Source organism: Homo sapiens, chromosome 1 (assembly GCF_000001405.40).
Source record: "Homo sapiens chromosome 1, GRCh38.p14 Primary Assembly".
Lineage (NCBI taxonomy): Eukaryota > Metazoa > Chordata > Mammalia > Primates > Hominidae > Homo > Homo sapiens.
Window position 1 is genome coordinate 240,472,616 of NC_000001.11, and position 22,328 is coordinate 240,494,943.

The window sequence follows — 22,328 nt, forward strand, 5'->3', positions numbered from 1 at the left end:
CCCAGAAGGCTAAGAGTCTTGATATTGATTATTCAAAACTTAAGAATTGGGCTGGGGGTGGTGGCTCATGCCTGTAATTCCAGCACTTTGGGAGGCCGAGGTGGGCGGGTCATGAGGTCAGGCGATCGAGGCCATCCTGCCCAACGTGATGAAACCCTGTCTCTACTAAAATACAAACAATTAGCCGGGCATGGTGGTGTGTGCCTGTAGTCCCAGCTACTTGGGAAGCTGAGGCAGAGGAATCGCTTGAACCTGGGAGGTGGAGATTGCAGTGAGCCAAGATTGCAACACTGCACTCCAGCCTGGCAACAGAGTGAGACTTTGTCTCAAAAAAAAAAAAAAAAAAATTAAGATAAATCTACTGAATCTACTGAGGGTGTGCATTTATGTGGATATGTGCATGTTGGCAGGGGCAGGGTGGGGAGACCATCTTTCACTTTCTTTGTTACACACAGATCACGGCAGAGGCTGTATTTGAGCCACGAGTGATCATTCTAATTGGATTAGATCCACTGGGATGTAAAGTTGGTGGGAAGCGCCAAGAGCAGTGTGACGCTTTGCCCAGGGTGCCCAGACCCCGTTTATATCCACAGATGGCTCGGCAGAGTTGGCTGCCGGAGAGTGGTCAGTCCAGAGACGGAGTTTAACAAGCTCATTTAAGTTTCCTGCTTGCCCACTCCCCGCTTTAAAACAAAATGCCAGGTTATCCACCCTGGGAGGGAAGGGCTTGGTTAAAATGACAAGGCTTTTCCTTGTGATACTGAGGATGTTTTGTTGACTGTTTTGAGGGATTATCACTTGGTACCACAGTGTAAGTAAATGTTTTAAATGAAAAGTTGAGTTAGGCCTTAGGATAGGACCATTCTAAATTGAATTAGTCTAATGTAGTCTAAAGGGAAAAGACATTAAAATAACCCAAATTGGGATATGATTAAATAGCCCTGTTTTTTTTTAAAAAGTTAGGAATTATATCTTCATTTAGAAGCAGTGGTGCCTTCAGTTTCTCTGTATCAAAATGATCTTATCTAATGATAACTACTACATGATAGTTCAGCTTATCTTCTGCTCCTGATGATTCAGTCTTATAACTGTATTGAATGTGGAGGAATAGTTACTTATTAGTGAACCTCAATCTTGCTATTATGAGTACAGAAGATAATTAGAGTACATTTACCATGAAGTGAAGCAGCCACTTCAGTTTTCATATTTATGTATTTGCATGTAGGATTGAGGATGAGAATGGAGAGTTTGACACCCTCTCATATTGGTTAGAAGTTAAATTTTTAAAACTTTTTTTTTTCTCAAAAGTATTTGGCGATTTGTCTTGATAAAAGTGCTCAAAGATAACACAGATCCCACTTATACTTTTTTCCTTTATGGACTGGTAGACCTTTAACCTTGTCCCACAGAATTTGATCCAAATGAAAAGGTCTTTTTTAGGCTACTCTAAATTCTTTCCATTTTTAAAAGTTCTTTCTAACTAAAACTTTTATCTGGTGTATTTGTTTTCAGAAAGCAAAGATAAGCATGAAAACTTGAACAATGAAAAGCAGAATGAAAATGAGTCATTGCAACGACTTTCACAAAATTCAGCTGACCTGAGAGTGGGAGGGAAACTACCGTCATTCTGCTCATGTTTCTTCTTGACCTCTTGCATAATCTTTTTGTTTTCTAGACAGTTCACTAATTGTTGAATTTTACTGTATATTCATATAAAAATGCAAACGTACTAGACCAGTGGAGAATTTGACACCTTTTCTTTTTGTAAAAGTTTATGGTATTATACCGATAGACCAAAACAGCATGTGTAAGAGGCAGTATCTGCACTAATTCTCAACATGCTAAACATTAACTACAATTCACTGTTGTGAGAATATTCCTCGTCACAGCAAAAACACTTTCCTTTCTACTGACAACCAGTCCTCCACATCACAGCATTTAGACATATGGGTAAAATGTTATTTCTAGTGAATTGTTTGTATCAGTTTCATGTCTAAGTATAAATTTTCTATTTTAAAATTTAAGAACCGTTTATAATCAGTGCTTTCCCAACTCTTGGGTTGCTCTCCATAACTATGTATTTGTGAAAGAAAATGGTCATTTTTTTTACTGAAGTCATATAATGACTTGGGTCAGCTCGTAATGCATTGTGATGGTTTTGTATGAGCTGGGTGTTTTTTTCCATTACTTTTAATGATCTTCGTTGCAAGTTATAGTTGTGGATAAAGGGGAGAATTTATTGCTCTTGCAAACCAATTATGGAAAGCAACTTAAGAAAACCAATGTTCTAAATCATAATTGTTTGTATTTATGTAAAGTATGGTCTCTTACTTTTTAGTTTGTAGTTTAAGTGCAAAGAAACAGTAGTGGTTTTTTTTCTATTGTTTTGTAGTCTTCCTGTCCCCTTCAGTCCCTCCAGTGTGTATATTACCATTCTCCAATGAAATAATAGGGCATTTAACAAAGATCGCTATGTGCAATACTGTATTTAGTGTTTCTATTTCAATTTTTCTAGGATGTTAATTTATATGAAAATAAAATGAATAATAAAAGAATAAAGATACTTGCAAAAGACAGCTGTCATATTTAACATGGGGTGGGGAATAAGAGAAGGAGGGAAAATAAGTTAGGCATGCTGCATATTCACCTGCACACACACACAAAAATGTGTGTACAGTTTCAGGGACTTAAGAACTTAAAGCCCATCAATGATACCTAAGTAAGAAATCCTGGTAAAATATTTATTCCTTTGTGGCTTGAACTAGGATCTCTTTCCTGATCTCCCAAAGATCTTCTGGTCATTTTCAATCAGATATCTCACCATGCCTTAAAATTCATTATGTGTAAATTCAAACTCAGCTTGTCATCTTTTCCCTCCATACCTGCTCATTCTTGTGTATTATCTATCTCAGTGAACAAAGCCACTATTCATTCAGAAACCCAAGTTCATCTTTTGACATATTACTTATCACAAATGCATACATTTGTCTCTGTCTTTTCTATTAAAGTCTTAGTTCAGAACCCTCATTAATTCCTTTATTAACCTACTCATTGTTCTCATCTTCCGAGATTTGCCCTGCAACATATTTTTAAAATTTGAATCCACCTTTTTCTAAAATACAAATCTGCTCATTTGAATTTCCTACTTAAAGCATTTTAATGGCCACATACACTAAGATATGTGGCCTCAAAATGTTATCTAAATGTTTAATATGGCAGACGGAGTCCCAAGCAGTGCCTACTTACATTTTGAGTTTAGTCTCTTGACTTAACCTACCTTGAATTCCAGCCTCCAGCCAAACTAAAATACCTCTAGGCTAATTTCCTCTCAACTATATGTCTTTCCGCATGTTTGCCCTCAGCTTGAAACATTGTCAACATTTCATGGATTCACTAATAATTGTATCTGAGTTTAGAAGGCATTTGTTCCAGGATATCTCTTGACACTGGTCTCCCTGGCTCCTAGCGTGTGACAGAGACTCACTACATATTTGCTGATGAAGGCAAGATAGGAGTGTTAACTATGCCAGATGCTTCAGGATACAAGTAGGTTGAAAATGGAATGAAGTCCCTTGTTTGCTGAAAAAGGGTAGTGGTAAAAACGAAGGTAGTGTTAAGGAAGTAGAAAAGGGAGGTTCAATACGCTCCATACTTGGAAGACTTCTGTCATTCAAGAAACATTGTGCTGTGAGTTAAGAATTTGGATTTCCCCTCTGTTTCCAAGTAGAAAAATAACATGAAATATATTTTCAAAAGTATAGATGCAGGGTGGGAAGTGGGGGTTGCAAGAGAGTGCATGAACAAGAGGAATCTCTATGGAGTAAAGACAACTGATCATGCCCCATTTGTAGAGGGAAATCAACCCAGGATCACTACCAGAGATGTGAGACTTACCTACCAGTGAGGATCCACTGAAAACAGCTGCAGAGGATGCCACAGGATATGGCAAACATTAGCCAGCCAGACACATGGTAGCAGGAGAAGGCAGACTACACTGGGCCAGCTAACTTCTGGGCCATGTCTGTACCTGCAGTGTCTCTAATGTCACTGACACACAGCCCAGTGCCACCCAGAAAGCCGGGTTCTGGACTAGGAATGGGTGGACGCAATGGAAAATGACCAGATACAGAGAGAGAGAAGAGGAAAAAGAACGTGAGCACTCTCTCAAGACGTCTCTGCAAAACACACATCCAAAGCACGGAAGGAAAATTCTCAAGGAGAAAGAATAAAACAACTCAATAAACAGCAAAATGAATTCACCTTTAAAATGCAAACAACACGGCAAAACTTAGATAATAGTTATATCTAGAATCTGTAGGCTAGGGGTGGTGGCTCACACCTGTAATCCCAGCACTTTGGGAAGCCGAAGTAGGTGGATTATGAGGTCACGAGTTCAAGACCAGCCTGGCCAAGATGGTGAAACCCCATCTCTACTTAAAAAAAAATAACCGGGCGTGGTGGCAGGCACCTGTAATCCCAGCTACTCGGGAGGCTGAGGCAGGAGAATTGCTTGAACCCAGGAGGTGGAGGTTGCAGTGATCCGAGATCATGCCACTGCACTCTAGCCTGGGCAATAGAGCAAGACCCTGTCTCAAAAAGAAAAAAAAAATCTGCAAAGGAACTTCAAATATATAATCATTGAGACACAAAAAACAGAAGCTGAATGAGTTCTAGATGGGCACACATTAAGTGACAAGTGATTTGGAAGGTAGCACCAAGCAATTTAGTGAGACCACACAGCAGAGAGAGAAAATATTTGTAAACATGTAAGAGAAGTTAAGAGAGATACAGGATAAACTGAGAGACTCCAATTAAAGAGGCAGTCCATATGGAGAAATTAAAGGAAATAGTAGAAAAGCCAAATAATGGCTTGGAGGAAAAAAATGGCTGAGAATTTTCCAGAATTGAAAAAAGATATATCCTCTGCTTAACACGTATCAAGTGCCAGACAGATATATACCAATACATTTGCACCAAGAAAGGTCAAAGTGAATCTCCAGCTAGGTAAAGAGAAAATTTGAAAACCTCTTGAAAGAAAGGACACGTTAGCCGGGCATGGTGGCTCACGCCTGTAATCCCAGCACTTTGAGAGGCCAAGACGGGTGGATTACCTGAGGTCACGAGTTCAAGACCAGCATGGCCAACATGATGAAACCTTGTCTCTACTAAAAACACAAAAATTAGCCAGGTGTGGTAGTGGGCGCCTGTAATCCCAGCTACTCGGGAGGCTGAAACTGGAGAATCTCTTGAACCGGGGAGGCAGAGGTTGCAGTGAGCCGAGATCGTGCCATTGCACTACAGCCTGGGTGACTGAGCGAGACTCCGTCTCAAATCAAACAAACAAACAAAACGACAGAAAGAAAGGACACGTCACTTAAAATGAAACGGCAGTTATTCTGAAAGTAGATTTGTCCTCAGCCACAATGTATGTTAGAAAATAGTAACGTCTTGGCTGGGCCCGGTGGCTCACGCCTGTAATCCCAGCACTTTGGGAGGCTGAGGTGGGCGGATCACGAGGTCAGGAGATCAAGACCATCCTGGCTAACACGGTGAAACCCCATCTCTACTAAAAATACAAAAAATCAGCCGGGTATGGTGGCGGGTGCCTGTGGTCCCAGCTACTCGGGAGGCTGAGGCGGGAGAATGGCGTGAACCCGGGAGGCGGAGCTTGCAGTGAGCCGAGATCGCGCCACTGCACTCCAGCCTGGGCGACAGAGCGAGGCTCCGTCTCAAAAAAAAAAAGGTAAAACGTCTTTAAATTGTGGAAGGAGAGCAGTGAATTGAGATCATTAGACCCACTTGAAACATCATTCACATGGAAGGGGAGAGAGAGATTTTCAGACATATGAAAAGCACAGGAGGTAACTACGCCCGAAGCCTCACTGAAGCGCCTGCTGCGGGGCACATTTCAGCAAGGAAAAAGATGCAAACGAAGTGAGGGCCTGGGATTTAAGAAATCACAGAAGCCATAGAAACTGGTGAAACAAAATCAACCCTAGAATGTAAACAGTAACAATTACAACTAATTTTTCATGTTTACAATGGGCACTAAAATTTTAGATAGTAACAACTTGGGTGGGAGAAGTTCAGGGAATAGTTCAAACACGCGATGGGGCATGTGCTGCTCTCTTCATTCATTCAATTCTGCAAATGTTTAGAGTGGTCAGTGTGTGCCAGAAACTGGAGTAGGCTTTGGGAGTCACGGACAAAGAATGTCCCATCCTCGTGTAACTTATGTTCTAATGAGGGAGACAAGCGATGTAAAATAATATCAGGCAATATAATATTTAAGAAGGGTGACAAATAACTTATTCTTCAAACCAGAATACCATTGAGAGTAAAAGTGAGGCTATTACACCTGGAAAATCTCCATAAATTGATACCACTCCCAGACAAACTCTGGTCACCCTACATATAAGCACTACGTGAGCTTTAAGTGTTATGAAGAGACATAGAAAGCCCTATCTCCTTAAAAAAAAAAAAAAAAAAAAAAAAAAAGAATGGTCAAGTGTGGCGTCTCACAGCTGTAATCCCAGCAGTTTGGGAGGCCAAGGCAGGAGGATCCCTTGAACCCAGGAGACAAGCCTGGTCAGCTTAGGGAAACCCCATCTCTAAAAAGAAAAAAAAATTTTAATAGCCAGGTGTGGTAGCACTTGCCTGTGGTCCTAGCTACTTAGGAGGCTGAGGTGGGAGGATGAGTTGGGCCCAGGAAGTGGAGGCTGCAGTGAGCTATGATCACACCACTGTACTCCAGCCTGGGTGATAGGGTGACACCTTGTCCAAAAACAAAACAGGGAGAAGATGGTGATAATGAATATGTTTGGACTTTGTTACAAAAATATGAAAGTAAATATAAATTAAACATTTAGCACTGTTCATTAAAAGAACAAAAAGAATTAAAGAAGGAATAAGAAAAAAAAACATATCAACTAAAGGTCAATCCAATCCAACTAAAAGCCAGAAAGGTAAGAAAAAACAAAGCCAAAAAAAAGTATGGTAAAAAGAGAAGTGACTGTGGATGGTAGGTGGGAGAACTCAAGGGTAAGTGGATGGGAACAAATTGTTACAAGCTCTGAAAATCCTGTGCCATTGTTCCTTGAATTACACCAGCTGTCATTAGCATTTCCACTTCCCAGCTAATCGGTGAACTCAGACTTTTGGAGGTTGTATTTGTTTCCTGTGAAACACAGTTAAACAATCAAAAGCAATACGAAGAGGTTTGATGTTCTAAAGTGGTGTGACAAAGGGGACATTCACCCCCTTCTCTCCCAAAAATCATTCCAAAGCAACAAGGAACAAATATGCATCATTTTTGATTTATCTTCAATTAAAATTAGAGGTGTCGAAAACCCAAACCACAAAATATACAGAAGATCTCCCAAATGTGTGGGTATGGAAAAAGGCAGAGAGGATGCTCATGAAGACACGTCTCAGAAAAAGCAAGAAAGTCTCCTTCTCCAAGGTGAAACCATACCCTTAGGAGGTGTTATCTCAAAATCCTTCTCCAAGGTGAAACCATACCCTTGGGAGGTGTTATCTCAAACTGTGTTTGCAATAATGGACCTCGGTACACCAATTGGTATTAGACACTCCCCTGAATGTCTCTTACTATTTTTTACATCAGGAAGGATGCCTACATGAGAAATTAGGCTGACAAACCATATTTGCAAGAAGGTGTCTATCAATAAGACAAAGGTGAAGGAAGAGACCCTGAATTACAGTAGTAAATACTAGAACGAGACATGCTCTCCATCGTACTTCATAATGAAATATTGTCTAGCTTGAAACACAACCCTACTGTCTCCCCACACAAACTATTCAATATTTGCAAATAGCTGGCAAATATCATTAACACTGCTATCAAACCAACAAAGATTATTTAAGTGAGAATACTATAGGCCAGCTTATTGAGGAATAGCAGTGAAAAATACTAAACACGTTAGCAAACATCAGAAGGGCCATGGAGAAATGGGGGTTATTCCTGGAAGGCTAGGATGATCATATGAGTATTGCCTTGCATATTTCAATATATGTGTATTTAAAAATCATATGCATGTGTGGAGAAAAAAACACATGATTTCCTCAAAATGCTAACAAATTAACTAATTTTTGAAGAAAAAACTCTGAATAACATAAATATGTCCTTAAAGAATCAAATACCTCAAGGTAAAGTCAGCCTGGGGCATAAGGGGACGCTTTAGGACTATTTCTGGCCAGACATGGTGGCTCACGCCTGTAATCCCAGCACTTTGGGAGTCCGAGGCGGGCGGATCATGAGGTCAAGAGATCGAGACCAGCCTGGCCAACATGTTGAAACCCCGTCTCTACTAAAAATGCAAAAATTAGCTGGGCACGGTGGCTTGTGCCTCTGTAATCCCAGCTACTTGGGAGGCTGAGGCAGGAGAATGGCTTGAACCTGGGAAGCAGAGGTTGCAGTGGGCCAAGATTGCGCCACTGCACCCCAGCCTGGGTGACAAGAGCAAGACTCTGCCTCAAAAAATAAAATAAAATAAAAAAATTTTAAAAAAGAACTATTTCCTTTAAAACTCAGGGACAAGACCAGGTTGTCTACTTTCACCTGCTATTTATCACTGTTCTGGCAATGAACAAAAAAAGGTATACAATGGAAAAGGATGAGGTAAAGTTAATTTTTATTTGCTGTTTATTAGATTATATGCTCAAAAAACAGACAATAACAAAACAACTATTAAAGATAATAATAGAATGACATAAATCGACTAGGCCAAAAATTAATATACAGAAATCAAGAACTTTCATGTAAACAAACAATACCCAGTCAGAAGATAAAATTGTGAAATATCCCCACTTAAAATAGCAAACAAAAAATCCAAATAACATGGAATAACTGTAATAAGAAATGTGTAAGGTCTATATGAAAATAGTTGAGAGACTCACAAAAATGGAAGGGCAATGACAATGCCAGTATTCCCTAAACAAATTATAAATTTAATATAAATTTAGTGCACGCCAAAACATTTAATGCAATCCAAATAAAAATACCTGCAGAATGTTTCATCGGGGGAAGAGGGAGGGTGAGAACTAAAGAAGTTGACTTCAAAGTTTGAACATAAAAATAAGCAAGAACAGTCAAGGTTTTGGGGAGGAACGAGTAGTGGAAAGAGAAACTTGCCCAATTACATTTTACACGTTAGAAAGTGACAGTAAGTGTTTGTAATAGCAAAACATTGGAAATGTCTAAATAATGAAGTAACGTTTAGGCTTTAAAACAGAAAAAACAGCTGGGTGCGGTGGCTCACACCTGTAATCCCAGCACTTCAGGAGGCCGAGGTGGGTGGATCACCTGAAGTCAGGAGTTTGAGACCAGCCTGACCAACATGGTGAAACCCCGTCTCTACTAAAAATACAAAAATTAGCCGGGCGTGGTGGCAGGTGCCTGTAATCCCAGCTACTCGGCAGGCTGAGGCAGGAGAATCGCTTGAACCCGGGAGGCGGAAGTTGCAGTAAGCCGAGATGGCGCCACTGCACTCCAGCCTGGGGGACAGAGTGAGACTCCATCCCAAAAAAAAAAAAAAAAAAAAAGAGAGAGAAAAAACAGGCCCTTTATATACTGATGTAGATGTACAACATTTTATTAAGGGGAAAAAAATCCATAAAAAGTTTCTATCTTTGTCCTTGGGGGGGGGGAAATCAGGAAGAAAAACAGTGTTTATAGTACAGTCTCATTTATGAAGAAATGATGGCAGCATGATTACTGAATTTCAAGAAATTAACATACATAGAATATCTCTGGAGTCATTGACAAGAAACTGATTATTAGTTGCTTCTGGAGAAGAAAAACAGGTAGAATTTGGGATAGAGGAGAGAGAATTTTAATTGTTATTTCTTTTGGTTCTTTTAGATTTTGATGAGATGAAAAAATCAGTCAATAGAGAAATATTTTATAATTAATTTTGTGGAATTTATCTCATTTCAAATATCAAATGACACCCAGCTGGTCAATTCTGTTAAATCAAGGAGACAATACAGGTTGGGTGGTTTACGTGTTTCCACATCATGATAGCAGCTCTATCAGATGTCCTCTCCAAGGACGATCAGGACAATTCTCACTCTAGACCACTACAGAGAGCTATGTGTAAGGCTGGCAAGCCAATCTTGTTTCTCTGTTGCCAGAATGAAAAAAAGGTCGGGGTTGTCTGTAGGCCACTGGGCACATTTTCTCCTATGGTGGTCTGATTGTGACAGTAACATTGGGCTTTTTCTTTCACAATAGGCCCATTTTGGTTCTACTTGTGCAAAACTCCCTTTCACCTCAATTTTGGAGTTGCTTCATACTGCCCTCCTGGACTATGTAAATGTTCCTAATCTATAGCTCCACTCCTATCGGATGCTCTAAAGTTTTCCAGAGATTAACATCACTTTCTAATCCAGGCAATGGATCATAGGAGCAATTTACACTTTACTTGTTAATCAACAATGAGAATTATCTGTTGGTTTCAGGCTTTTTGGAGTCAGAAACTGGCAATATGCTTAAACCATGTCCCAACAAGCCCTACGATAATGAAGTTCAATTAATCTAAATTGGGCCCCGCAATACTTGTTATTTCCTATCCACATATTTTACCTTATAAATGCTGTCTGTAATTAGTCAGCATACCCTTAAATTAGGGCGCTCATATTTTTCAAGCAAAGAGTGAAAATAAAAAAAAAAAAAAAAAAAGAGTATTTAGCTTACAGAATTTCAAGATAGATCTAGAAATAGACCCCATCCACAGAGTTCCTCCCAGCACAGGGAAAACCAGACTTGCGGTGCCGATGGTAACACAAATTGTATATTCTTTGGCTCCTCAAATAAAACAAAAATTAAAATATAGATATACCGTGGTGAAAACAAAAACAGAAAGCAAGAAACCCCAGATGTAAATAGTTGGATAACTCTCAAACCTTTGTGCTAGAGTTTCAAACATCAAATTTAAGTTTTCCAGCCTTGATTAGACACCCAATTCATAATTTGGTATCCAATGTCTCCTTCCCACAAATTAGCAGTTGCATCGTGTTAAGTAACTATGGTCTTGCTAGATAAAGAATGTCCGGGCAGCAGAATATGACAGATGAAGGTGGTGGTTTGGAAGACTTCATGTGTGCCTAGTTTATTAAACACACCCTCTTTGCCTTCAGGAATGTGAGTTGGGAATGGGGCTCAGGCCATCAGTGCGTCATCAGGAAGATGTGGCATTGCTCAAAGAGCAGAGCAAGGAGGGTTGCCACCAGGAAGGTGAGGAGGAGCTGGAATTGTCTATGGCAACAGATATGCATGGAAGGAGGGAGGATTAGAAGCCTGTGTAGAGCAAGAGGAAGGCAGTGAAAGGAAGGATCAAAAGGTTCCACTTTTACATCAGGCAATGGGCAGACATTGCCTGAGGAACGTTACTCATTTTCTCTGATGTTTCTTCATCTCCGTACTCTTAAAAATTTGTTTTTTTTTTTCTCTGAGATGGAGTTTCACTCTTGTTGCCCAGGCTGGAGTGCAATGGCGCGATCTCAGCTCACTGCAACCTTGGCCTCCAGGATTCAAGCGATTCTCCTGCCTCAGCCTCCTGAGTAGCTGGGATTACAGGCATACACCACCACGCCCGACTAATTTTGTATTTTTAGTAGAGATGGTTTCTCCATGTTGGTCAGGCTTGTCTCAAACTCCTGACCTCAGGTGATCCACCCACCTCAGCCTCCCAAAGTGCTGGGATTACAGGCATGAGCCAGTGCACCTGCCAAAAAGATTTTTTAATTGACAAATAATAATTGTACATATATATGGGGCACATAGTGATGTAACATATATAATGTATAGTGATCAGATCAGGGTAATTAGCATATCTATCATCTCAAATTTTTATTATTTCTTTGTATTGGGAACATTCAATATCCTCCTTGTAGCTATTTATATGATATATGATATAACATATTATTGTTAACTTCCTATTCTTCTAAAGAAGGATTTTTTAAGGTTACTTGGCCCTGTGTTCCTCCACTGTCCCTATTAGAAGTGTCATATATGGGCTGGGTGTAGTCCCAGCATTTTGGGAGGCTGAGGTGGGTGAATTGCTTGAGCCCAGGAGTTCAAGGACCAGCCTGGGCAACATAGCAAAACCCCAACTCTACAAAAAGAGAAAAATTAGCCAGGCATGGTGGCATGCACCTGTAGTCCCACCTACTCAGGAGGCTAAGGTGGGAGAATCGCATGAGCCTGGGAGGTTGAGGCTGCAGTGAGCCAAGATTGCACCACTGTGGAGGACAGAGCGAGACTCCATGTCAAAAAAAAAAAAAAAAAGAGAGAGAGAGAGAGAGTTGGAGGAGACTTGACTGATTGAGACCAGGGCCATGATCCCGCCACTGCACTCCAGCCTGTGTGACAGAATGAAACCCTGTCTCACAAACAAAACAAATTAAAAAAAAAGTCTCATGTATGTTCGTGGATTTAGTTACAATCTTTTTGCTTCAATATCAGTTTCTCCAGATCTAGCTGCTCATATAAATTTGTCCTATTTCTTCAAACAGGGAAAAAGTTTCATTTACATAAATGTTTCACTATCACCACAGACCCAACATCTATAAAAACCTGCATCAGTATTTTCTGTAACCGGATCCTCATTTATCTTGGGCTGCCCATCTGTTGCACTAACACCCCCCTCTTTCATCACCGCATTCTGTGACTACTTCACATATTTGTCTCTTCTTTCAGATCCAATTCTATTACCTGGTCTGGCCCTAACCTTCAGTTTATGTTGTTGCAAGAGCCCCTGAGCTGGCCTATCTGGACCCAGATTCTGTTCCCTCCAATCACCTAGCATGTCGTGACTAGAATAACCCTTGATCCAATCTGTCCGCGATTTTCTATTTCCTATGATGTCAGGTGGAACTTGCTCTGCCTCTCTTTCAAGGCCCTCCATGTTCTTTCTTCTCTGTCTCCTCCTTCCCCCCATGCTCCAGCCCCCACACCTACCCCTAACACACAGGGAAAGGTGACTATTATGTTGCTCTCCCCAGATACCGTCTTCAGGGCTGATGTACCGATCCCATCTCACCATCTCACCTGGCTGCTGACCCTCGCTGAAACTAACAGCTGGGTCCTCACTGAGATTTGCCCTTGGAGGCAATACACGCCCCGTCCTAGGGATGGCTTGTGCTCAGTGACTGAGGGATGTGGGCTACAAAAGCCTGTCTCTCTTTCTTCAATTTGGCACCACTCTAAAATGCGCCCCCCAGCTCCAGAGCTCCCCACAGGATCAGACAAGTCCTCATTTATGACCTGATGGCTTTTCCCACTGCACAGTCCTCATGTGCTTACAGGTCTCTGTTCTGCAAGCATTCCCCCAATAAACCTTCTGCTCACAACTCTGTCTCAGAGTTTGGAAAACCAATCTAAGATAGACAATTCCAGTTCCTGGAGAAGAATACTCGAACCCAGGATTTGGAGAAAGCTCAGTCGTTGGGCAGCTGCTGAGTATCGGTCCTGGTGTGCTGTAGCCCTGTGTTGTTAAAACTCTTCCCAGAGGTAAATTAGGATGGGACACTGGTTGGGAGACTCACTGGCTGGTGCAATATTGATACAGGAACTCAAATGAAATTATTTAGACAGATAATCAGATAATGAGGGTAAGAGAGTCCTCAATAAAGTTTCCCTTTTGATAAAAAGCAGCCCCCAAATCATTTTTTTTAATAACAAAGAGCAGCCTGAAATATCAAGCTGCAGATATAGAAAAGCAGCCAGAAGCTTGCACAGGGGAATGCCAGCAGCTGTGCCAATAGGATAAGGCACCTGGGGGCAAAGCCTGTTCCTCATGGAGGCTCCATCTTGACTTTTCTTTGTCACTTGTGTGCAATCAGGGAACAGGCAGCATGGTGCTGGGCAGGTAGATAACTCATCTGCATAATAAAAGATTAGGGTGGGACGGCCAGCTTCACTATGTAAATGACACATCTAACCCAACCAATCCATTGCACCCTATATAAATCAGACACCGCCTCCTCAAACTCATCTATAAAACCAACTGCATCTCCCCACGAGTGGGGAGATCCACTCGGAACCCCTTCCCTCTGCACAAGGGAGCTTTTCTCTTTTGCCTGTTAAACTGCTGCTCTTAAACTCACTCGTGTGTGTCCGCATCCTTGATTTCCTTGGCATGAGTCAATGAACCTCACATGTGACCCCAGAGGAATGATGCTGCTTTGATATCTTTGGTGCTTAAAAGTTGTGAGGGGCAGAGTGATTATAAGGACTTTGGGATCGGGTACCTGCTTACAAGTGGTATTGATTTGTTGAAGAGATAATAAAAGACTCAAAGTGATGAATCACCAATTCAGACAGAATGTAAAAGCCATAGATAGGATCTTCTAGGTAGCATTCAAGTAAGCCCTAGTCTCCTGCAGTCAGAAGAAGGCTCAATTGTAAAGAGGAGCTCTGTTTCAGAGAATTTTGTATTCTCAGCTTCAGCAAGTCTCTTGTCCCAAGATTAGAACCCTAATAGGGAAGTAGAACCCCTAAAATTGGGAGAGGAGTACCTGGGTAGATGAGTTGGGACTCTCAAAGTCCCCTGAGCCTGCTAGGTCTGTTGTTAGACTCTCATCTCTGCTGGGGATCTGCTGGATTGGCTAAGGGAGGAAACGGACTGTACGGTGAAATCACAGCAGGAGCCGGGAGAAGAAGGATGGGAATGTGTCCCAAGGCTGCTGTATCAAGGAAGAAGAGCAGGACATTAAGTTGGATAATGCTTATCACCATGGGAGCAGTCTCCCATGATTCAGGATTTGAACCTGTGGAAAATCCCCCAGGAATGGTGATAATAAGCTACTAGGACAATTCTTGGAGTATCTCAAACACTTTGATTCACACTCCATGAAATAAAAATATAAGAACTTCCATGGTGCATGATGGATAAAACCACCCTAAGGCTCAGAGAAGTGGGGGTGCTAAAGTGGGTTTGCTCTGTAAAGCTATGAAAACCAAACCACTCACCAACTGTGTTCCCAGGAAGGTCTCTAGTTACCAAAGCTATGATGATTGTGTTGGTGAGAGGGGTAGCAGCTCTGGTGCTCAGTAGTGCCATCATCTGTAGGCCAGGGATAACTGTAGGAAGAGATGCTGCTGTAAATCTAGATTCCCTGAGGGACACGAGAATAGCAAGATCTCAGAATAAAATGAGCCAGGTTGTAATGCTTAGCTTTCAGAAGTGGGCACAGTTATTGCAAAGAGGGGTAGGACTATAGTGGCGTCCGTGGACTCCCAACTTGAAGATGGTTACTAGAACATGATGTTCCTGAAGGCAAGATGGATGGGGGGTTGTGGGGGGAGGGCAACAAGAAGTATTGCTTAATTTACACAGTCAAAATAAATCAATAAAGGAAAATCAGAGACAGAGGGCAGCATCTCAATGAAAATCACAATCCCTTGTTCGGTTTCCAGATCAGACCTGAAACCCATTGGCTGAAGAAGTGGCTGATTCCTTATGACCCTGCAATACCAGGGCAAATCTATTCATTTGTTATTTCCCTACTTCTTAACCGGGGAGCTCAGGACCACTTTATTCAGGCAAATGTGGTTTGGGAGAGAAGAAGAAGACTCAGCACTTTTGAGAATTATTGAACACTGGGTCTGAACTGACACCAACACCTGGAGACCCAGTGAACCACCATGGCTCCCTCCTGATGTGGGAGCATACAGCGTCTACTAGAGTCCTCCAAGCTCTGGCTCTCAGTGGGCCCACGGGTCCACAGACTAACCTGGTGATCCTTTCCCTCATTTCCAAATATGTAATTGGAAGGGACACTCTTGGTAGTTTGAAGAACCCTCACATTGATTCTTGAGTTCTTAGGTAAGAGCTATTGTAGTGGGGAAAGACAAATGGAAGCCCCTGAAGCTGCTCCCCACCCTAGAAGAAAGAGTAAATCAAAAATGACGCTGAATTCCAGAAGGAATCTGGGAAATTATGAACCTCTCATAGACTTTAATAGTGTAGTAGCCCTGGCTATATTTTGATTTACTTCACCATGCTGGCTCCTACGAAAATCAAATGGAACATGGCAGGATGTTCCAGCAGTAGCCCCAGTTACACCTACTGCACTCAGGGTGAACTCTTTGCTAAAGCGGATTAAAACAACTTCCAGAACTTTACCTGGCAAGTGTGTTTTCCATCATCCCGGTAGGTGAGAGGACCAGAGGTAGTCTGCGTTCCAGTGGGATGAACAGTTTATATTTATGGCCTTGTCCCCAGACAATGTAAGTTATTATGCTCTTTGTCAAAATGTAAACTGAAGGGACATTCTATAAATCACTACACAGATTCATCATATGATTGACATCATATAATAGGACCAGATGAGAGGTATGGGGCAAGTTATGCTGGAGGACTTGGTAAGCGCACACTCCATACACCTTAGAAAGTGGGCAATAAACCTTACAAAAATTCAGGAAACTTCTGATTCTGGGTAAGATGCATTAGACATATTTTTTTCCTATTCCCTCCACTAAAATCTCCGGATGTTATGTGTGTGTAAGTGTATACACTATATACACTATACACCATATATACACCATTCTCTCCTTTTTCTCGCACAATATATACACTATACACTATATATATATTGTGTGTATATACACACATGCACACACACATATAACAAACATATGAGGCTGTAGAAGGTGGAGAAAAGAAGGCAGAGAAGGTAGGAAACTCGGGATTCAAGGAATGATATGGCAGTGATTTCCCTGGTTTTGTTTGTTTTGCCTTATATTCTAGACTAAATACTAGCAAAGTCAGTAACATCAATGGATACAAGCAACAACAACAAAAACTGCACGGTTTCCCGTGTTTTGTTTTTGGTAAGTTGAATGGGCATCTGCTGTGTGTGAGAAGCAGGGTGAAGGGGTGGCAAGGTTGGGGATTAAGGAGAATTCAGAAAATAACATGATGAATAAGACATCTTAGGCTGCTCTGCCTATGAAGTAGGCATTCTTTATTCCTTTACTTTCTTAATAAACTTGCTTTCACTTAAAAAATTTTCATTGCATTATTGATGACTTGGTCTTATTGTTATCATTCATGCAGACATTAATAATCAGTGGTGATAGGTCAATCATTAAATAAGCCTTCTGGGAATATATACATTCTAAGTTGTTCACACAATAGCAAAAGTCATTTTCATTGACTTTATAACTTAAAAATCATCTGGCCAATTTCAAAAACAAGTGAGTTAGAATACGTTAGCAGTGAAATATTCTGTCCCATTTAATAAACTAAGATGAATTATTTCCTAGGAAGTTGAGTTTAATTCCTTTGAAGCCTACACAGTGGATCAACCATGTGCAGTTTGATTGTGGATTTTATTTTTTATTGATTACGGAGTTTTCTTAAATGGCAGATTAAGTCAATTAATAGAAAAATGGAGATGCTATAAACTAAGAAATATTTAAATTAAGAAATGTTGGAACTCATGAGGAGTAAATGTGAAAATGAACAAAACTCAGAACAAGTGTGTCCCTGGTGCTAACGGAGAGACTAACAGTGGACTTCCATTGCTGCAGTTTCTCAAGGTTTCCTTGTTTAGTGTTTCTCCTTCAGCCAGCACAGTGAGAATACTCTGTCTTCAGCTGGCAGGGGATGTGGAAGAGGCTTGGAAGCTTCCAAAGACCAGGATTGAGGGCCACCTCCATCACTTCTGCTCCTTGGATGCCTGATTCTATTTCTCTTAGAAGATTCCAGACCCCAAAGGAGATCATGTGACATAAGCTAGAGGTTGAACTCACCATGGTTGAACAAAAACTCTCTGAACGCATAGTGCTGCTTCACAGCTCACTGCAACAAGTCAAAAATTCCACTTTTATGGCACGTCACACCGGGATCACATATAATCCTAGATTATCTTTATTTGTTCTATAATTTAATAGTATACCTATAAAATAATTACATTATACTTATAGCTTTTCTTCATTTATAAACAAAACAAAAAAATTAAATACAATTTGAGCCATTATAAGGTAAACTTTGTACATACGATAACCCCAGAAGGAGCTTCACACTGCAGCATATCATATTGCTTTCATTGCTACACCCACAATTGGGTTCGAAGAGAGTGTGCTCGTGTTTGCATTCTGTAAGTTCTTAGCTTAATCCCTCCCCTATCTGTGTGGGTTCCATGTTAATAAAATGATAGGGGTTGGCTCTGCAGCTGGTCAGAGACTCTCCTCCACTCACCTCCCAATCCACCCCTAGCCTCCATTACAATCACGTAAATTTCCTTCCTTCACAGCTTTTCTGCTGCATGTTCTGCCACTGAGTCTGACTTGAGGTTTTCCACCAAATGCAAAAATCACTCCTGACCTTGAACACCCTTCTCTCCATTTTCGCTCTATCCTCAGGTTCCAGCCCTCAAGGATTTCTTTTGATTTCTGCCTCCTGAGTTCAGGCTGTATATACCCATTTATGAAACCAAGACCCCCTCTGCCACAGCACATTCTTGCTCAGGTCTCATGGTGTTGCAGAAATGACAGAAATGCACCTTGCAGTGCAGTGGCCTGAGATAGATTCACCAACCCACCCCACCCCAATCCTTGCTCTTCAAGTGAATGTCTCTAGATCCACCATCACTACCTAGTATCAGGAAGCTAAGTCCCCACAGCGGCTTGCAGAGGGTCTCTCTCACATACTAGGGAAGTGGCCCCTCACAGGAGCACTTACCAGGGAATCATCAGTGAAAGGTTTTCAAAGTTTACTGATTCCCACCAATGGCAGCTCATTCACATTTGTCAGATTCCATAAGCATTACTCACAGGGAAGCCTTCCTGGGGCAACTGAGCAAAGGAGCCCAGAAGAAGTATATAATTTCGCTGGAAAATAAGTTACGTCTACTTCCGTATATCAAGAGACCACAGCATGGAAACGTCAACAATTCATTATAAACACAAAAGGTGACCTAATGTTTGTTCGTCCCTTTTGAAGTCTATTCTTTGAAAAGGAAGCATGTTTTGTGCAGAACAGTTCAACTAGATTACTATTCTATATCTTTTATTCCTTACTCCCTTCTATACCACAAAGCGACTCAACTCCTTATATTTTTCAATATCCCTCTCTTTTTCTCTTTCTTTTAACAGGAAATATTTTTTGCCTAGTGTCATGGCAGTGAAAGTAGTATACGGTTTCACCCCACATATGCATATTCCACATTATAGGGGCTTTCTAGTTTCCGGTCATCAATTTCCCAACGAATGCCCTTCCCTATACCTATCCATCCCAAGCCAATTTCTACATTGTGCTGCAATGCTTAGTAACGTCAGTGAAATAGTATTCAAAGTAAAAATCACGACTCCTCCCATCTCCCTGCCCAATCTAAAAATAGGTGCATGACAGTGAATTGCTGACCAGGCATTTTTTTTTCTGAGTAAGACACCTTCTGGGCCTGCTGTCATCCTTACTCCGAATGGTGCTGCAAGCCAGAGTCAAAACATGTGAAATAATACATGAATAGGTCTATAATACTTTTTAACAGCTCTTTACAATATACGGTCACTTATAAAACCAGCGTTAATATAGAGACCTTTGTGTGTGATAATATTCTAATTGCAGCAATAATAGCATGCACACCAGAGTTCATCTTTAGTCCACAAATAGGGGGCGGGGACAGTGAGGAAGAAGAGGCGGTGGGGACTTGAGGATGGGGGATTGTGTAGCCTGCTCTGCTCGAGGTTTCCCGGGAAGCCCACTTCGGGATCCAAGTGGCTCAAGTTGTCTTCTTGGTATCAGGTTTATTAGGAGACGCCCCGTCCACCGACATATTTATGGAGGTTGCACATATCCTCATCACAGCAGCGACCGAGGGCAGCCTGCCAGTCACAAGAATGAGCGCTCCCAGCCAGAGGTCCAGGGACCAGCAGGAGAGGTCTGAGGGGCCGCTCAGAAAAGTGACGCATCCTTCACTTCGCGCGGGAAAGGGGCGAGCTGGAGTGCAGGGCGGGGCCAGGGAAATCCTTGCTTTTCCACATGGTGGAAACATCAATGCCGGATTTACAGTGCATCACCTCGAAAGGTCCTCTCTGACTGCTGGGTGGCGGTGGTGGTTTTCCAGCATTTTCCTTCGGGCCTGATCCACCGCCTGGTTTAGGGGGCACAGGTGGGACCCGGGGTCGGTCAGGAACACATCAGCAAAAGCTCCACTTGCGATCCACGTCTGTGACAAGGACACCGTCAGCCCTAAGAGAAGTGCTTGCTGCTGAGGGGGAACACCAGGCAGCGTGACAGTGGGCTCGGAGGGCAGGGACAGAGGCGGCGGCGGCGCCACCCAGCGGCCGGGCGCGCGCGGGGCTGAGCTGCGTCCGGCCCGGCGCTCACTGCTTGTCCGAGTCGCTCAGGTTCACGGACATGCACCGGCACTGCTTCACCTTCTGGATTTTCTTGAGTCGGAAGGGTGGGTCCAGGCCGGGGCACTCGAGCTCCACGAGGACGGAGGTGACGCGCTGGGGCTTGCAGAAGGCGCAGGACTGGAAGGACTCCTCCTCCTTCTTCACGTGCCGCGGGATGTAGAAGGAGTTGCACTGGCCGTAGCAGAAGCGGTTGAGGATGGTGCGGCTCCGGCAGCCCTCCTCGCTCACCGTCTGCCGCAGCGGCTGCGTCTTGCACCAGTCACTCTTGAGGTACTTGCGCTCGGTGACCACCAGGGCCTCCTGGCTGGAGGCCAGCACCTCCTTGATCTGGTGCTGCCATCTCTCCGAGTTGTTGCTGCTGCCGTCCTTGTAAGGCGAGGGGATGGCGCCCGCCGGCCGGTTCTTCCGGGCTTCCGCCACCTTCACCAGCACCGCCACCAGGAACAAGGACAGGGAAAGCTTCCAGAACATCCTGCAAACGAGAAAAGAGAGGGGCTGGCTGTGAAGGGCCGTAGAGTACGGGATCAATCTTACTTATTTTTTTTTTTATTTTAGACATGGTCTGGCTCTGTTGCCCAGGCTGGAGTGCAGGGGCACGTAGCTTGCTGCAGGCTCAAACTCTGGGATCCTCCTGCCTCAGCCTCCTGTGTGGCTAGAACTACAGGCTTGCACCACCACGCCCATCTACTTTCTTTTTATTTTTTTTTGTAGAGACGGGATCTCACCATGTTACCCAGGCTGGTCTGGAACTCCTGGCCTCAAGCGCTCCTCTGCCTCAGCCTCCCAAAGCCCTGGGATCATAGGCGTGAGCCACCACGTCTTTTTAATGCTGTACGGTTTTACTAGCAGTGACAGTCAGGTGGGGCATGGCAGACTGATGGCTGCCCAGGGGCAGCTGGAGGTGAAAAGGGATTAAATGGTACAAGTGTAGGCAGTTAGGACTGCACCCCAAATAATGCCTGGAAGGCAAGGAGGCGGACAAAATGGCCAGTAACTTATGCAGTAAATGCAGTTAGAAAACACGCGTGTTGAACAGTTACAGAAGTACAAAGCAAATGCTGGGAAGAGAGACCTCAAGCCAGTTTGCAGAAGTACCAATAATAGTTAATACTCAATATTTACAGTGTTTTACTTTGTGCCAAGTGCTGTCCTAAGAGTACATCTCATTTACATGTATATCTCATTTCATCCTAAAAATAGCCTTCAGTTGGAGGTGGTATTATGACCCCTTTACAGTGAAGGGGTCACTTTACAGTGAAGGAAACTGAGGCTGGGGCCCACAGAAGTTGAGTCATTTACCTGAGGTCACACAACCACTAAACAATGGCCCAGGATTTGAAGCCAGCCAGACATCTACCTCCAGAGCCATCAATGTTAACCAGCAGACATGGATGTGATTACAAAAATTAGTAAGTACAAAGTAGAGAGAAGATGGGTGTCGTTCACAAGTTTCTTTAAAAATGAGTATTAAAGATAGAACTGGACATAGGCTAGAAAAATTACTAGTTGCATCTGTATTATTACATATGAATAATAACATTAGCATTTAACATCTGCACACAGATGTTCAAATCATTCAAATGAGTCATAAATTAGAGTCTCCTAGTAGAAACTAATTCCCAGGTGTGAATTAAGAAATTTCCCTAGCTGACTTTGGGAGGCCGAGGCAGGCGGATCACGAGGTCAGGAGATCGAGACCATCCTGGCTAACACGGTGAAACCCTGTCTCTACTAAAAATACAAAAAATTAGCCAGGCGTGGTGGCGGGCGCCTGTAGTCCCAGCTACTTGGGAGGCTGAGGCAGGAGAATGGCGTGAACCCGGGAGGCGGAGCTTGCAATGAGCCGAGATGGCGTCACTGTATTCCAGCCTGTGCGACAGAGTGAGACTCCGGCTCAGAAAAAAAAATAAGAATAAAAAAATAGAAATTTCCCTAGCTG

General features: G+C 42.6%; 2 protein-coding genes across 9 annotated transcripts in view, besides 1 other annotated feature; one reads left to right on the forward strand and one right to left on the reverse strand.

The window, feature by feature from the left end:
* Positions 1-2,572, forward strand: part of FMN2 (formin 2) — a 383,305-nt gene extending 380,733 nt beyond the window's left edge. For all 5 annotated transcript variants that reach the window (NM_001305424.2, NM_020066.5, NM_001348094.2 and 2 more), the window contains one exon: positions 1,513-2,572. In NM_001305424.2, the coding sequence (NP_001292353.1) occupies positions 1,513-1,539 (27 nt within the window). In that variant the 3' untranslated portion in view covers positions 1,540-2,572. The remainder of the gene's footprint in view (positions 1-1,512) is intronic.
* GREM2 (gremlin 2, DAN family BMP antagonist) overlaps positions 16,958-22,328 on the reverse strand; it is a 122,583-nt gene continuing 117,212 nt past the window's right edge. For all 4 annotated transcript variants that reach the window (NM_022469.4, XM_011544249.3, XM_047427832.1 and 1 more), the window contains one exon: positions 16,958-20,861. In NM_022469.4, coding sequence (NP_071914.3) covers positions 20,354-20,860 — 507 coding nt within the window. In that variant the 5' untranslated portion in view covers position 20,861 and the 3' untranslated portion in view covers positions 16,958-20,353. The remainder of the gene's footprint in view (positions 20,862-22,328) is intronic.
* Positions 20,600-20,771: a silencer, noted in NCBI's record as "fragment chr1:240656515-240656686 (GRCh37/hg19 assembly coordinates)". NCBI's record gives its function as "represses an EF-1alpha promoter that drives an FKBP-Casp9 reporter gene in an ReSE screen in HepG2 liver carcinoma cells {active_cell/tissue: HepG2}" and the evidence as "EXISTENCE:reporter gene assay evidence [ECO:0000049][PMID:32094911]".